Source organism: Homo sapiens, chromosome 18, assembly GCF_000001405.40.
Source record: "Homo sapiens chromosome 18, GRCh38.p14 Primary Assembly".
NCBI lineage: Eukaryota > Metazoa > Chordata > Mammalia > Primates > Hominidae > Homo > Homo sapiens.
Window position 1 is genome coordinate 53565848 of NC_000018.10, and position 16926 is coordinate 53582773.

Here is a 16926-nt window from a genome sequence, read left to right on the forward strand (position 1 = left end):
TGAGCAGACAATATTATACAAGTCCCTATAGCACAACAAAATAAAATAAAAAAAATCTTGGAATATAAGCAACTGTTGGAGAAAAGAAGGAAAAAGAGAAGATCACCAATTCCTGAGTGAAATGTGCGGCAGATTCTGATGCATTCAGTTCCTAACAACATTTGTCTTTGTGGGCTACAACCACTGGCCTAGAAAAGAAAACAAGTATCTCTGGAGTCAGCAGGATGAAAGCTGGAAGAACTGACTAAATCAGCGCTTCTCAAGATTCTCCAGGCCATGGATAATGTCGAAGACAAACACTTCTGGCATCATCCAGCACACACATTCTTCAACTGTTCCTATTAAAATACTTCTCTTGAGCAAATGAACACACATAATTCTTTGAACAAAACATAAACAAAAATGTAATTCAGTGGTTGGGTGCGGTGGCTCATGTCTGTAATCCCAACATTTTGAGAGGCTGAAGCGGGAGGATTGCTTGAGGTCAGGAGATCGAGACCAGCCTGGACAACATGATGAAACCCTAGGTCTACTAAAAACACAAAAATTAGCTTGGCATGGTGGTTCAGGCCTGTAATCCCACCTACTTGGGAGGCTGAGGCACGAGAATCACTTGAACCAGGAAGGTGGAGTTTGCAGTGAGCCAAGATTGAGCCACTGCATTCTAGCCTGGACCACAGAGCAAGGCTCTGGCTCAGAAAACAAAAAAGAAAAAAGAGAAAAGAAATGTAATTCAGACACAAAGTAATTTTTAGACATAAAAATTGATACTAGCCTATATAGATATTAATACTTAAGCCTACAGTGGGAGGTCACCATCCATGATCGTGGGTTTACCCAGGCATTCTATAGTCACGACCAGTCATTTTCAGAACAAATTATTAAGTTTCTCTGTAATGTGTCCTTACTCCACACACACAAACACACACACACACACACACACACACAGACACTCTCTCTCTCTCTCTCACATTACCCACTCCCAGGCAAACTAGATGTTTTGAATTGCTAATGGTGCAATTTAAGGCACTGTAGGTGGTATATTATAAGTTCCTTTCAAATATTGCAGGATGGATCTGTTAATGAGGGATTCTTCACAGGTTAAAAGAAGGAATCATTTCTAAAAAGCCCAGAGGAATTCCAGACTTCAAAGCTGCATTTTTCACTCTGTTTATAGTCATTAGGTCCCATGAACAGAAATTTAAAATCATAAGATACCAGGAGATAATGGGGATTTCTAATGACTAAAGGTAAAATGTCTAGACTCTCTTTGTGATGTTATACTGCAATAACTTGAAAATGAGGTAAAACAAAAACAATCATAAAAAATTAAGGTGAAACAAAAGATCACTTAACTTATGAATTTTTAAAGTGTGGGTCCAGGTTAGCTAAGTTTCCCTTTTAACTATGACTTAGGCTTTTGGGGAGCCCCTGCTGAGAAATAGATGTCTTACTAGATATCTCAGAGTTACAACTAAGGTAGAAAGCATTTTGACATAATTATGCATGTTTGTATTTATAAAGAGGTATTTTTTATTATGCTTATTATTTGGTTTTCTCCTAGAGTAGGTCAGAACACTTTCTCAAGCTGTTTTCTTGATGCAAAGATATCCATTGCACATCCAGAGACACACACACACACCATCAGAAAGCAATATCTATGTGGCATCCGGTAATATGGTGTTTTAGTCTGTTTTCTGTTGCTGTAACATAACACCACAAACAGCAATTTATTTTTTTGAAAAATTAAGTGTATTTAGTTCATGGTTGCAGAGGCTGAGAAGTCCCAGCGCATGGTGCTGGCATTTAAAGAAGGCCCTCTTGTTGCATCATAACATGGCAGAGGGGATCATAAGGTGAAAGGGCAAGAGTATGCCATCTCAGCTCCCTCCTCCTCTTCTTATAAAGCCATCAGTCCCACCATGGGAGCCCCACCTTGATGACCTTATCTAATCCTAATTACCTCCCAAAGGCCCTACCTCCAAATACTATCAATGTATGAATTTGGGGATTAAGTTTTCAACACATGAGATCTGGGGTATACATTCAAACTATAGCATATGGTAGTATCTGTCAGCTTCAGTCTTTTAGATTTCCTTTAGGATCACTGCAATCATAAGCATATGCCACAGACATCAGAATTCTCTTTGGGCGTTCTTATTATGTCTCTTGGAATAATTATATATGGCTGCCTCCCTTTTCTCAAAATCACAAGACTTCGTCTCATTAAGTCTGTGGTGAAATTGTTTCCCTGTCAACTGGTAAATGGTTGTAATTACAGCAGAAAACCACCAGATGGCAAAATGGCAAACTCACATGAATCCAGATAATAAAAGGGTCTTCCTTTCTTTGAGGGCTTCCTTCAAAAACCTTGGCCTGCGATGGCCTGGATTGCAGGAGTCCTATGATGTTGGCTAGTCGGTGTAATTGTCGGGCTTTTCCCTTAATCCATTTATGCCTGAGGTTGCAATTTTTTGAATTTTTGCAATTAGACCTTGGCGATGACCTTGAGCAGTAGGATATAAATAACTCCCTTGTGTTTAGCATTCCAGTAATGGAACACTAGCCATAATAAACCGTTCCAAAAATGCGTTCTAATGGCTCTCAAGCAAGGTCCACTTGCAGTGAAATAAACCAGAGGTTTGAATCATGGCTTGATACGAAATTATTGGAAAGAATATGGCGATGACATCCACAATGCCGGTAAATACGTTAGTATTTGGAGGACTCCAAAGGGTGGATCTGAGAGTGGAGAATGAATATACAAATCTCTAGCCTCTGGAATAGCATTATGTAAAGGCTCTGGAAAACATGGTTCCTCAAAAATCCCATTTCCGTGTTAAATCATCCTCTCATCTGGGCATTTGACTTCATAACTAATTTAAGTCCCTCTATTTGCAGTTGAAGCCCCTCTCCTTTCCTCCAGTTAACAGGAGGCTTTGAAAATGAAATATCTTTTAAAATTATTCACAAATATTCTGGTGGGACACCAAGCACACCACTTCCATATCAGATGCATTAACTTACTCATATTTTATGCATATAACTTTATATATCCATTATGAGGCAGAAAAATGATTCTGGAGATCTATGTGAATTACCTATAACTTGAATCACAACCTAAATAATATCACTATTATTCAAGGTTTTTTATTGAATATGTTTTATTTCTGCTTTAAAAGCATATTATATTTGATTTAAATGGAGTAATAAAAAGAGGAGTATTCTGATATAACCCTATAAATCATCAATTTAAAAGTAGATCTTAAGATTTCCTTATTTCCTTAATTTAGCAAGTGATTTCCAAGCTGGTGTATGGAGATAAGTAGTAATATACAAAAATGCTAACATGGGCTAGTGAACCTCTTTCATTATTTGAAAAAGCAGAATAGAAACTGAGCAGTTACCAACAAGAAGCCTCTGTCAGATAAACTAAATTTTTTCTGCTCTGGCATAGAATTATATCAGCTCAATTGAATGTGAAACGATAATGACAATATTAATAATTAATGCTTATAATAACTAATGACAAAGATGATGCTGAGTCATTTAATATTTGCAGTGTTGCCATGAGTCAGGATGTCCTCATATTATACATAATGTAACTGAGGCTAACATGTCTTTTATTCAGCAATTTGCATATGGTTTTAATGTTTCTAACAATTGAGCTTTACTATTATGAGTATTTTTGGAATAACTATCAGAAGCTCTGATAGTCATTGTGTATAAATTTACATAGATTTTGCAGTTTATCATTGCAAACATAACATTTCAGGGTAGTCATAAATATTGGTACATAAAATACATGAGTAAAATTTGAAAATGAATAGCTAATCTGGAAAAGTTTGGAAACCTCTGTTGTAGGCAGTGAAGACACAGCCTTCAACGAAAGAGTGTTGATTGGTGAAACCTTTTCCAAATCTTCATGCTGATTATTGAGCAGGTTAAAATACATATAGCTCTCCATATTACCTTTCATGCATAACAAGAATGGAAAAACCATAGACCCTCATAATAAGGGGCTCAGAATAGTAAGGATCCAACTCATGTTAGATATCATGGGGGGAGGCAGGGAATGGCTTCTCTTTTCTCATTCTCTTCAGCTTTTTCTTTTTCGTTCTGATTTTGAAGATGTTTTCTTCAACTCATCTTCCACATATTCTTTTTAAAGGTTTTCTGCTAGGATCTTTCAAACTCTGAAATATCTTCTCAGTTTCTGAATGTTCATTTTTACAGTATTTTGATTTTATACGTGCTGTATGCTCTTTTGCCTTCTAAGATATAAATATACATTTTGTTGAAATTTTCTTCTGTTTGCTGCACTTCCTTGATTATTAATTATTTGAGGCCCTTTTATATTTATTGGTCACTTTAAGATCTCTTTTTTGAAGTATTTTTTCAAGTCTAATGTCCATACTTCTACTAAGTTAAAAGGACTTAGGAATTATATCTCCCTTTTGCCGTTCCCTAGAATAGTATGCATGAATTTGATGCTAATGATGAAGCCACTTTATGCTTAGTTTTTAAATTGCAGATTCAATTTATTTAATAACTATAAGACCATATAAACTTTGATTTTTTACAGTTTCAGTTTTGGTAAGATATGCTTTTTTATTTTCCCATTTATTCTAAACTTTCATATTTATTTACAACATTTTACCATTTTTTGGTGTCTATAAGATTGTTAGTAGCTTTTCATCTTTTTCATTAGTGCTATTTTTAGTGTTTTTTTTCCTTTTTTCCTATTACTAAGGGTTTATGAGTGCTGTCGTTTTTTTCCCCAAGAATTAACTTTCAGTTTAGTTTATGTTAGCTATATTTCCTATGTTACCATCTGCTCTTATTTATTCTATTTTCTGTCTTCTATTCTCTATCAGTTTTATTTTTCCTAACTTCTTGAGATTATGCTCAGCATTCTGTCTCTACCAATTTCAAAGGGTTAAAATAATATAGAATATATTTTTAAAGATAGTAAAATGCAGGTGAAAGAACAACAAGATAAATTTTAAAGCTCCCTAAGTTTGGAAGTTAAGAAGTTTATTTCGAGATAATTCATGGGTGAAGGACGACACAACAATAGAAATTAGAAAATATTTGGCACTGAATTATAAGAAACATAGCATTTATTGAGACTTGTGGGATATAGCAAAAGCCAAACTTATGGATAATGTATAACATAAATGTAGATTTTTAAAATCTGGAAATAAATGACATTTGTTAATGTTCAAAGAATATATTCTATATGATTTTAATTGGTAGAGACAGACAACATGGGCCAGCATATGTTTATTTTTGGTAAATGGTTCTTATGTATCTAAAGTGAACACACATTCTGCATGCTATTGTGTGCAGCATTCTATATATGTCAGTTGAACGATTTGTTAGTAATGTTGTCTGAATTCATATCCTTAGGAATTATTTGACCTACTTCTTCTATCATGCGCTGAGGTGGGTTAAAATTCCCCACTATGTCTCCATTTACTTGGTTTTTGGGGGTTTTTTTTAAGTGGTGTTTAATACTTTCCTGGTGAAATAAACTATTTACCATTACAAAATACCTCTCTGTACATTAAAAAATTTACCTTCAAGTCTTTTTGTCTAATACCAATATAAATAGACCTTTCCTGGGGCTAGTGTTATTTTTTATTTTTGGCATAGTCTTTTGTGTGTGTGCTTACTATCAATTTCTCTGTTTGCATTTAAAGTGTGGCTTTTAGAGTCAAAATATAGTTTGTCTTTTTAACTTTTTAATATTATCTAACACTCAAACCTTTACTTGGGGTGTTTTTTCTATTCACATGCAATGTAGTGTTGTCAAATATATTTAGGATTAAGATTTTCCCCTCACTATTTACTTCTTATTTTCTTGACTATTCTATGATTCTTTGCTTCCTCTTTTTGTTTGCTGTCTTTTGGATTAGTTTTTTGTTTCTTTGTTCTATTTCATTTTTTCTACTTCATTAATTTGGTAGTTATGTTTTTTAAGCTATTATTTTAGTGTTTACTCTAGACTTTGCTAAACGCATTTTTGATGTATCAAGTCTAACATAAATTAGTACTTATATCACCTACCAAATAATGTAGAGGTGTTACAACATTTAGCTCCAAATACTCTGTCCTAAGTTATATGCTTTTGCTGCGGTATATCTTAATTCTAAACACATTTTAAGCCCACAAATATTATGATTTATAGCATCAATGTTCATTTATTGATACTTATTTGCTATCGCTATTGCTCGTTTTTCTCACTTCTGTTTATTAGCTTCAAATTTCCTTTTGAACAGATTTGCCAAGAAAAAATCTCTCACTTTTTGTTTTTCCTAATAAGGCTGCATTTCATTTTTACTTTAGAAGGGTCAGCATTTTTCTGTAAAGAACCAAATGGTAAATCTTTTAGGCTTTTGGGGTCATAATATTCCAACTACTCTAGTGCATGAAAGCATTCACATGTAATAGGTAAATGAATGAGCATAATTAGGTTTGTTCCCCCAAAAAACTTTGCTTACAAAAACAGATAACACCCTGGATTTTGCCTGTGAATCACATTTTGCTGACCCCTTTGTTAGAATACAATATTTACTTGGTATTGCATTTTAGGTCAAGAGTGATATTTTTGGAGCACTTTTTGCAAATATGGTTATATTGTCTTCAAGGTTACATTGTTTCTGTTGAGAAGTAGCTGTTAGTCTTATTGCTATCACTTTTTTCTTTTTTTCCCCCCTCTAGCTGCACTTAGATTTCCTCTGCATTGAATTTCTATAATTTTTCTACAACATTCTTAGGTTTCTGTTTTGGTTTTGCTTGGGGTTTTAATAATCCAACTATTCGTTCTTAGGTTTCTTGTTTTGGTTTTGCTTCAAAACTATTTGGATTATGTAGTGATTCTTAAATCCATGGTTTGGTGCAATTTTGTTGGTTTAGGAAAACTTGAGTCATTATCTGTTCAAATATCACTTTTCCATTTTATTCCCCTCTTATGTTCTTCTGGGGCTCTAATTACTCATGTTTTAGATTATTTTACCATGTCTTATGTTTCCTATGTACCTTTTTCTATTGTTCATCACTTGCCTTTCTGAGTTTAATTCATCAGGAGTGTCTGCTCTCTTGTTAAATCCAGTCTTTGAGTTCTCAATTTACTTTTCCGCTCTAGAATTTTATCAGTTCTTTATAACTTCCAACTCTCAGCCTAAAATTCTCAATCTGCAAGTTATTTTCTTCCACTTGTTTATTTTCTTGAACATATTTTAAAATTGGTTTCTTATTATTTCATTGTTATCCCCTGTGGGTCTGTCTCTATTGTCAAATGTTTCTTTTAGTTTTATTCCATTTGATCCTGTCTCTTCCCCCAGTTCAGAATATTTTATATGTAAGAAACTATAGTATTAATAGAAGGCTATGAAAGATCATATTATCATCCTGGTAGAATATATGTATGCTTTGAGAAGGCTAGGTTAGCCTATTAGTAAAGACCAGTCAAATTAATCCCATCAGGGATGTAGATGAATTGAAGCCAGGTCTTAATCTTGTCAAGGACTGGTCTATTTCTAGATTACTTTTTTTTTTTTTTAAAATGAGATAGAGGAGTCTCACTCTGTCGCCCAGGCTAGGGTGCAATGGCATGATCTCGGCTCACTGCAACCTCCGCCTCCTGGGTTCAAGCGATTCTCCTGCCTCAGCCTCCTGAGTAGCTGGGATTACAGGTGCACACCACCACACCTGGCTAATTTTTGTATTTTTAGTAGAGATGGGGTTTCACCACGTTGGTCAGGCTGGTCTCGAACTCAAGACCTCATGATCTGCCTGCCTCTGCCTCCCACCGTGCTGGGATTACAGACGTGAGCCACTGCTCCCAGCCTACTTTTATTTCTAAAGAACAACCCTTTAGGGTCCCAATCCAAAGCCGCTCACATCTTCTTCTTTGTGGGCCTCTAGCACTAAATTTTGTCCCCCTAGTGCTATGAGCATATTGAAAGCTCACCTCATTCATAACTGACAAATGTTTCTGGAGTAGAGGTCAGGGAATTACGGCCCATTCATCAAATCTGTTTCTATCAATAAAATTTAACTGAAACACAGTCATATCCATTGATGTAATATTGTCTATGGCTACTTTTGGTGCTACAGTGGCAGAGTTGATCAGTTGTGCCAGTGACCAAATGGCCTACAAAATCAGAAACAATTACTATCTGGCCCTCTACAAAATATAACCTCTGTGAGGAAATGGGTCCAGAAGTCCTAAAAATGTTCCTGGATTGGATTTAGACCTCATAATCATTTATCTTAGCAGCTCTCTGATGCATTCAAACATAATTTCTAAAAGTTCTGCCTACCTTTCTTAGGTGTTCTCAATGAGAGACTTATTGCAAAATATGTAGTACACCATTACTGGAAAGAGAACACCTGTGAGTCTGTGTTTGAGTCATTACAATCCTCAATGCAAACTCTGCATACGTGAATATAAACAAGGATCCGTTTGACCGATGAGCTTCCCAGAAATATTGGCTAGCTGAGTTCTTTCATTAGTAAATTCTCAAATTCTCACTGTCCAGAGATAGTTTCTTTTTGACTTTTTAGTTTTTCCAGAGAGTCATCCTCTTTGCCCTGTTCAGGAGCTGAGCTGGGGAAAACTGGGGAGGTAAGGCATTCTAAAAGCCCCTGTATCACTGTTGAATTGTTGTCTTGATTTCAATATTATGCTTCATGTCTGCCTTCAGGTGCTTATGTCCCCAAATCTAGAACCCCCAAGATACACTCTCTCTATATAGAAAACTTCTATTTCTGTTAATACAGGAAGAGGTTAATTGTGTTGCTTGAGATGAGGACATAAGAGGACTTAATTGCTTTTTACTGAGACTTAGAACCTCTTATTTTTAACACTATTCTGTGCTCCCATGTTCAAAGGTTTCTGCCGTGTTAAACTCCTAAGTGTTTCTGGGGTTCTATGTGCAGTTAAATGTGAACTTCCTTCCCTCTTTCAAGTCAGTTGCCTTGTCACTTGTCCTTTTGCATTTCCAATATCAAAAATTGTAATTGGAATCTTCATCTAGTACTGCTGCTTTCCCTGTTCTTTAGCTCCTTTTAGATTTATGCCTGTTTTATTTTTATTACTATTTCAGTGAGTTTCTTGATTAAGCAGACATAAAAACGTATGTTCACTTAATCATGTTTAACTGGAAATCCCTAATTCTTTACTATGAAGGTCACATGCCTTAAAATACACCTTTATAATTCCATTAGGCATAAACTGTTAATTGTTTTTGTAATGGAAATAGTAATAAAGCAAACTATACTACTCGACAGCCATAATAATAAATGCGTGTAAAAAACAGGTTAAGACATCTTTTAAAAAATTAGGTAAGAAGGGTATTCAAGCATTCATAATGAAATGACTCCCCCCATATTTTGTTTCTTTAACATGGAGTATTAGGTTTCTATTGCTGTACAACAAATTACTACCAAGTTAGCCACTTAAAACCACAATTTTTTATCTCACAGTCTCTGTGAGTCAGGCATCTGGACATGGCTTGGCTGTTTCCTCTGCCTAAGAATCTCATGGGGCTGCAATCCAGGTCTCAGCAGAGGCTCAAATGGAGAAATAGCCACTTCCAAACTCCTCTGGGTTTTTGGTAAAATTCATTTATTTGAAGCTGCAAGTCTGAGGGCTATAGTTTCTTGCTGGAGGTTGCTCTCAGCTTATACAGGCTCCTACGCTTCTTTACTATATGGGCTTCTCTAGTATGGCCACTTACTTCATGTTGGCTTGCTTCTGCAAAACCAGTGAAAGGAAATTGCTCTAGTGGGTCTTCAAGCAAGATAGAATCTTATGTAATAACAATCATGGGAGGGGCAGCCCATCACCTTTCATATTCTACTGTTTAAAAGCAAGTCATAGGGGCTGGGACTACACAACGGCACGAACACTAGGAATTGAAGATCATGGACGCCACCTTAAAATCTGTCCACCACACCAAGGTTAAAGTCATGACGATAATGATGGGTTGTTACTACATTGTTCTTATAAGGCTTTACATCTTTAAAATGTCTCCACACACACACATATTTCTCTATGAATACATGTATAAGAGGTGTCAACCCAAACTTAGGCTGTGTTTTGTCTAGAACTCAAGGTCTTCTTTGCAAACTCAGAGAATTAGTCAGGTAGAACCCATAAGGCACCATTTATATTAAGGAAGAAAGGGGCCTTCTGATAAATAAGAGACAAAGAGCTTGGTTCGAAGATAATTAGGCAGCACTGATGAGATGGCATAATTTTTTTTTTTTTTTTTGAGACAGGCTCTCACTGTGTCACCTAGGCTGGAGCTCAGTGGCACAATCTCAGCTCACTGCAACCTCTGCTTTGTGGGCCCAAGTGATCCTCCCACCTTAGCCTCCCGAGTAGCTGGGACTACAAGCATCTGCCATCATGTGCAGCTAATTTTTGTATTTTTGTGTAGAGACAGGATTTCACCATGTTGCACAGGCTGGTCTTATACTCCTGGGCTCAAGCAATCTGCCTGCCTCAGTCTCCCAAAGTTCTGGGATTACAAGTGTGAGCCCCTGCACCCAGCTGAAATGGCATGATTTTTTAAATAGCACAGCAATGTCAATCAAACTATCTCATAGCCTCAGGACCAAATAACAGGTTTAAGGAATGTCAAAGAAGAGTGAAAAAAAAAGAGAGAGCTATTTTTTTCCCACAATTTCTTTAGGACATTTAGAATGTGAGACATCAGTAATTACAACATTGGTAGTGGTGATGAAGATGTTACTGAAACAGCAACATTAGGATGGTGATTATATTGGTGGCCACCCTTGTAGCACCTCCACATTAGACATCAGTGTCTTTGAACAAATATCTGTGCCATCAGTCTTGGGTGTCAACACCCCCATGTGGACATCAGCAGGAACAAAAAGAACAGCCTAACTGGTGGGCTTAAATATTCCTTGCTACTTATTAGCATGGCAATTATCAAAGGCAAAGTATTCTGAAAAAAAAGGAGAGAGTAATCACAGATACCAGAGTCAACATGGGAGCTAATTATTGATGCAACTCAACAATAAGGATAGTCCCATAATACCATCTGAGAGGAACTTAAGTCAAATTACAGTTGCATAGATCAGCGTAACAGAAAAAAACTATTTAATATCTTATTCTTATCCTTCCTGCTAATATTTCTTGGGAAGAATGTGTTATATAAGTGATCTCAATTACTGCTTATAGCCACACTGTGAGGTAAATATTTTCACTCTGATATGGTTTTTATTTGTGTCCCCGCCCAAATCTCAGGTTGAATTGTAATCCCCAGTGTTAGAGGAGGGACCTGGTGGGAGGTGGGAGGTGACTGGATCATGGGGGCAGATTTCCCCCCATGCTCTTCTCATGATAGTGAGTTCTCACAAGATCTGGTTGTTTAAAAGTGTATAGCACCTCCTGCTTCCCTCTCTTTCTCCTGCTCCAGCTATGTAAGACATGCCTCCACTTCGCCTTCTCCCATGATTGTAAGTTTCCTGAGGCCTCTCCAGCCATGCTTCTTGTATAGCCTAATACACACTCCTATTCTCATTTGACAGGTAAGAAGACGAAATTACAAGCAGGATGAAAAATTTGTTCAATGAAACACAGCTATTAAGTGGCTGACCTAATAAGTGTTATGTATAAGTGACTCATCCATTGTAGCTTCTGGGACTCAACTTTAGGATCATCGTCATATGCAGCCTGGAGCTAGCCATATTTGAAGAGCTAGGAAGGAGGCACAGTGATTGACAATCTCCTTTCTCCTCAACTAGAATGTCATTTCCTTTTTTAAAACTAATTTAAATCCCATCTACATTCAATTGCTTGTCTAAAATAAAACCCAACTCCTCTCTTAAAGACTTTAAAAATATTATATAGCAGAGTTCATCCTTTCTTTCTTCAGAGAAAGCATCATGAAAACATGTTTTCAGGACATTAATAACTTGATATTCACAACCAACCTTTAAATTTGGAAACAAGGAATTCATAACTACGTTGTATATATATGAAGAAAGTAAGCCTCAGAGAATTTCAAGAGCCCGTCCAGGATAGTCTGCTTCAGAGCCATGGTTCTCAAAGTATATCAGATCTCCAGAGTAGGTCTGCAGTGGGAGCCAAAATTTTGCATTTCTAACTTGGTCCCAGGTGATACTTGTGCTGGCGCTGCTAGTCTACACTTAACTCTATTCACTTTTTTTGTGTTTTCTTAGGATAAAGAAAATATTTAGAAGATGAGATTCCTGTGTTTCTGGCTTTCATGTAAGAATTTTATCTGAAAAAAGAAGCATAGACATGTAGAAATTTTATATTTTTATAGATAAACTCATTGGATTATCTGTTTTTCATCTTGGAACACACTATCAACATTTTCTTTAGAAGATATGCAGGACAGGTGGCTTTCAGTGGGAAGAAAGTGTCCTAACTAAAAACCTCAAGGAAGATAGGGCATGTGGAAATAAAGACCATCCAAATGAGAACAAACATAAGCTATGTATTCAGAGCTTGCTACAGCAAGGGCATCCATGCCACCACTTCAACTTGTCAGAGGCTGAAAGGCAGACAAAGCAGTGGGGAAGCTTTAGAGTGGAGAAAAGGAAAGGTGTTAGGCATGTTTTAATTGAGGTCATTGTCATGATAGCACTGGAGTCAATGGAGGTAGGCTAGCAAAAAGTGAGACATCTTATGTGATGGGTTTGGGGATCACATTTAGCTTTCTCTGGTTGGTTCTGAATTGGAAAAAAGAAAAAAAAAAGATGAAAAATAAGGAGGCTGGCAGTTGTTGACCAAATCGTGACCATTCTGGACCAATCTTAAGAGATTGTAACTGGTTTCCTGCAATGGTTGCTGCAGAGTCTGTGGGCCAGAGTTCTGTTTATTACACATAGAATGACGGTTATCTGTTTCTAATTCAGTTTCTCAAGAGCTTACAAGGATGTCAGCAAAAGCAAGCCATCTCTGACTCCACAGTCAACTTATCCACTAGGCAGACATGACCTACTGTCAAAAGCCCATGATACTTTTAGGGACCTATAAGAACATTTTAATTTCTTTTAAAATCAGAAAAAAAAATGAACTTACAGATTTTTAAATGTTTGAATGCATAATGTCAATATATTTATTCCAAGTCAGTATTCTGAGAATGTAAATGTTGTATATCATATGGTTGATAACGATTGTGTATTCATAGGAGGAAATGAGAAGGAGGTTTGGAAGAAAGAAATTTATCATACTCAAAGGTCGCAGAGAGGGGACATCTCATGCTATGCAGGGACACAGAGAAGGCATGGGTGTCTGTCAGAAGGCAGAAAGGAGCAAAGAGAAAGCATTAGACCACAGGCTTTATTGGGTTTTCCATAGGAAAAACAGGGCAGAGCAAACAATTTAGAACAGGGCTTGCTTTAAAAATTCCGGCTCGACTTTGGGCTATAGGGATGGCCTCCACTTGAGTGATACTTGGCCCTGGGATAATTTAAGGCAGGGCAAACATTGGCTTAGTGTGTGAGAGTTAGATAAGGAAGTAATTAATGGATTGGTTGGTTTGCATATGAAAGGCCTGCGTTCATAGGCAAATTGTTATTATCTTTAGGAATTAGCTAGCCCTAGGAGGAGGAGTTTCTCCATGGTCTACAAGGCTCCCAAATGCCAGAGCAACAAGAATATAGATAATAATAAAATATTATAAATTCAGTATTGGCCCTGTGAAGAATCGATGCCAAATAGACAAATACAGAATCTAAGAAAACACAATTAGAACATTAAGTCATGAAATACAATTTTTAATATTTTTGTGGATGAAGAGGTCCAAGAAAGCCATAATACAGCCCTTCTTGGCTGCAGTCTGTACAAAGTTTGGTTCAGTGAGGGGTTTAATGGTGTAGGAGAAAAACTTCCAAGCAGATAAGGTTGAATAAAGTGGCACCACAACTCATAACCACTGCCCCTCTGGGTTCATAAAACCACCTTCCTTATTTGTTTTGTTGATCTTCTTTGTTTTGTTGATCTGCTCCTGGTACTTGTTCCTGAAAATTGCCTTTAGCATGTAGACACTGATTTTCTGGCCTCTATGTAGTTCCGGTTCTCAGGCTTCTTTCTTAAAGCCAACCCTGACCTTTGTCTTGACATTACTGCCCTGGTTACCGCAGTAATATGCTGAACACATAATACCAAGAATAATGAGTATTTGTGTTTGCTTTTTTTTTTTTAAACAGAACCTAAAATGTTCTGAACTTGCACTTATAATTTTATTAACTACTCAACAAATGATATTTATTATTACCAAAGAATACTAAATTACATTTTTATCATATGCTTTATGATTTGTACTAACTATTATACATTAATACAGTTAGGAATATATACTGCTACAAACAGGCATAATGGAGATTTTTTTTGAGAAGTTTTGTATTTTATTATGTGTTCTTCCATTTAATTTGAATTACATTGCTTTCATATTACAGCTTATCTGGTCTTTCTGTTTCATGATATACATAGAATATCAGTTCTAAATTACTAAAATATTTAAGGAAAACATTTAGTTCAGACACCGTACCTCACTGTGGTCACAGAACTTTAGTCATTGACTGAGGTCTTGAAAGTCACCATCTTCTTGTTTTTTTCTTGCAGAAGAAATGTCAAGTTATACTTCTTTACTCTGCAGGTTTCAGAGAATATTTGTTTTCAGATAAGTAGCTTGGAGTTTACCCTTCAGATATTCAAATAAACACAGCACCATTTTCAACCTTTCAACTTTCTTCTCAAAAACTTTCAGGAGCTCAGCAGCAGAAAGTCACCAGTTTTTGGAGAAAGAACTTGAATATTTTAAATATTCTTAAAGTTTTGAAATCACCAAGGCCACTGTGTAGAAAGGATTACTGATTCTTTCTCTAGAAAATTGCAATTTGCAGTCAATTCCAATGGGGCAATGAGTGAGGGTAGCGAAGAAAGAAAAAAAAAATGTTATGACTTTATCTCAATGAACTATTAGGAAAGTGTTCGAGACATACCACTAGCTAAAAAAATGATTTTAAGAAAAACAGACAACTTGTCTTCACCAAAAATTTCTTCCATGCAATAAGATTACAGGAAGAGAAAGAGGAAGGTGAGTAGATGAGGCAGATTAGAAAGTAGGTAGTGTAAATAACATTATATGGTTCCTCAATACCTTAGCCTCCCTTATTTATCACTGATAGAACCTTGATCTTGTTCAGAGTTCTTCTGTACCCAAGCAATGAATCACAACTCATCTGGCCCATTATGACAAGCCTGTTCTCTGTCAGGCTGCCTTGGAGCTAGGGGCAGCCAACTGAGTTCTTCTGCATTTGAGGGGCTGACTGCAGGAAGGACTTCTAGGAAAGGTTTTGCTTTCCTGGTAATTAATGAGGTCAAGTAGAGTGACTCTCCACTCCTTTCTTATCTTCTACCAGCTTTTTGCTTTGAAAAGTGGACCCAGTGCTTATGGCTGCATCACCATTTTCATTACCAGTTCAAGAACAGAAGCTAAACCACTAACAGTGGCAACCTAACTCAATCTTGTTGTACAATTACAGAAATGATTTCCTTGCTTTTAAAGCCTTTATAAGTCAGGAATTTTTAAAACTGGCATTCAAATAGATTTCTAATTAGTACAATGTAGCCCCATCTCAGTTCAGTTATGTCAGCCCCATGTCTATATTGGGCATCTGAACAGCATTTAAGAAAGTTTCATTGCTTAATTTTGAAAACACTATATATGACAATATCTATGTTCTCCCAAATTTGCTTACCTATGACTCAATGCATGGACAAAGCCAACAAAATAAACAAAATGCCATTAATATGTTTTGTTATTACGGACTGGAGGAAGAGAGATTGCAGGCAGTGGTTGGAGACTGGGTTCAGATTATAATGGGTTGAGGAATAAATGGATGCTGAGAAAGTGGAACCAACGTATGAGCTATTCCCTCAAGAAGTCTGGAGGTGAAGAGAAAGAGAAAATGGTGCAAAATTGAGGACTATGTTATTTGGGGAATACAGAAAATAGGTTTCTAGTTGAGGGGAAAGTGCAGTGGATAGGAAGAAAGAATGAATCACAAGGGAGGAAATGATCAATGGAGTAAGATCCAACTATAATGTATGCCAGGCTTTATTTTATTTTATTTTTAACAGGCTCTCACTCTGTTGCCCAGGATGGAGTGCGGTGGCGCAATCACTGCTCACTGCCGCCTCGATTTCCCAGGCTCAAACGATCCTCCTTCTTCAGCCTCCTGAGTATCTGGGACTATAGGTGTGCATTACCAAACCTGGTTAATTTTTTCTATTTTTTTGTAGATACAGGTTTTTGTAGATACAGGGTTTCTTTTTTTTTTTTTTTTTAGATATCTTGCCCAGGCTGGTCTTGAACTCCTGGGCTCAAGTCATCTGCCCACCTTAGCCTCCCAAAGTGCCTGCATTACAGGTTTGAGCCACCATGCCCAGCCCCAGATGTTCTAGTTCTTGAAGACTCTGCCAATATTTTAGAAACTGAAATACATCAAATAAAAATAAAATATGCAAATAGAGGCCAGGCAGGTAAGATATTACATATTTTTAACAACACACAAATGCAGACATGCAAATATACAGTACTTTCTTAGAAAGTATTCAAGATAAAGTAATAAGGAAGTTTTTTTAAATCCACACTATAATTTAATGTAGGAATATTTTCTACAAATAATAACAAGTCTGACAATATGTTCATAATGTCATCTTTTAAGAACTTTTTAGATTTCCTTTCTACTGGAAAACTTTTAACTTTGAAAACCGCAAGTAATATTTTTCTTCCTGAAACCTCTGCAGTGGTAGCAATGCACTGAAGTTTGATTAAAAGGTCAGTTAATGCAAACATAAATCCCTTAAAATATTTAGAGCACACAAGTTTCAACTCATCTTGTATT

General features: G+C 36.4%; 1 protein-coding gene and 2 long non-coding RNA genes across 7 annotated transcripts in view, besides 1 other annotated feature; 1 reads left to right on the plus strand and 2 right to left on the minus strand.

Annotated features, from left to right (window-relative positions):
• The window catches only part of LOC124904304 (uncharacterized), a 266099-nt gene that overhangs the window by 85013 nt on the left and 164160 nt on the right, over window positions 1–16926 (minus strand). For 4 of the 5 annotated variants that reach the window (XR_007066373.1, XM_047437986.1, XM_047437987.1 and 1 more), the window contains exon 1: window positions 2317–2754. The exons of the other annotated variant lie outside the window; for it this stretch is intronic. Coding sequence is in view for 3 of the 4 variants with exons in the window: in XM_047437986.1 (XP_047293942.1) it covers window positions 2317–2547 (231 nt within the window). In the remaining variant the exon portion in view is untranslated. Of the gene's footprint in view, window positions 1–2316; window positions 2755–16926 lie in introns of those variants that run through there. 5 annotated transcript variants of the gene reach the window in all.
• Window positions 788–1644: an enhancer, noted in NCBI's record as "OCT4-NANOG hESC enhancer chr18:51093005-51093861 (GRCh37/hg19 assembly coordinates)". NCBI's record gives its function as "activates a minimal SCP1, AML or CMV promoter by ChIP-STARR-seq in naive H9 embryonic stem cells {active_cell/tissue: H9 hESC(naive)}" and the evidence as "EXISTENCE:reporter gene assay evidence [ECO:0000049][PMID:30033119]".
• LINC01919 (long intergenic non-protein coding RNA 1919) overlaps window positions 2600–16926 on the plus strand; it is a 29405-nt gene continuing 15078 nt past the window's right edge. Inside the window, exons 1-3 of the long non-coding RNA NR_110798.1 lie at window positions 2600–2703; window positions 12226–12274; window positions 16747–16859. This is a non-coding gene — a long non-coding RNA (long intergenic non-protein coding RNA 1919). The remainder of the gene's footprint in view (window positions 2704–12225; window positions 12275–16746; window positions 16860–16926) is intronic.
• On the minus strand, window positions 13776–15212 carry LINC01917 (long intergenic non-protein coding RNA 1917). The gene is made up of 2 exons (NR_110800.1): window positions 14565–15212; window positions 13776–14164 (listed from the first exon to the last, which is right to left on the minus strand). It is a non-coding gene; the product is annotated as a long intergenic non-protein coding RNA 1917 (long non-coding RNA).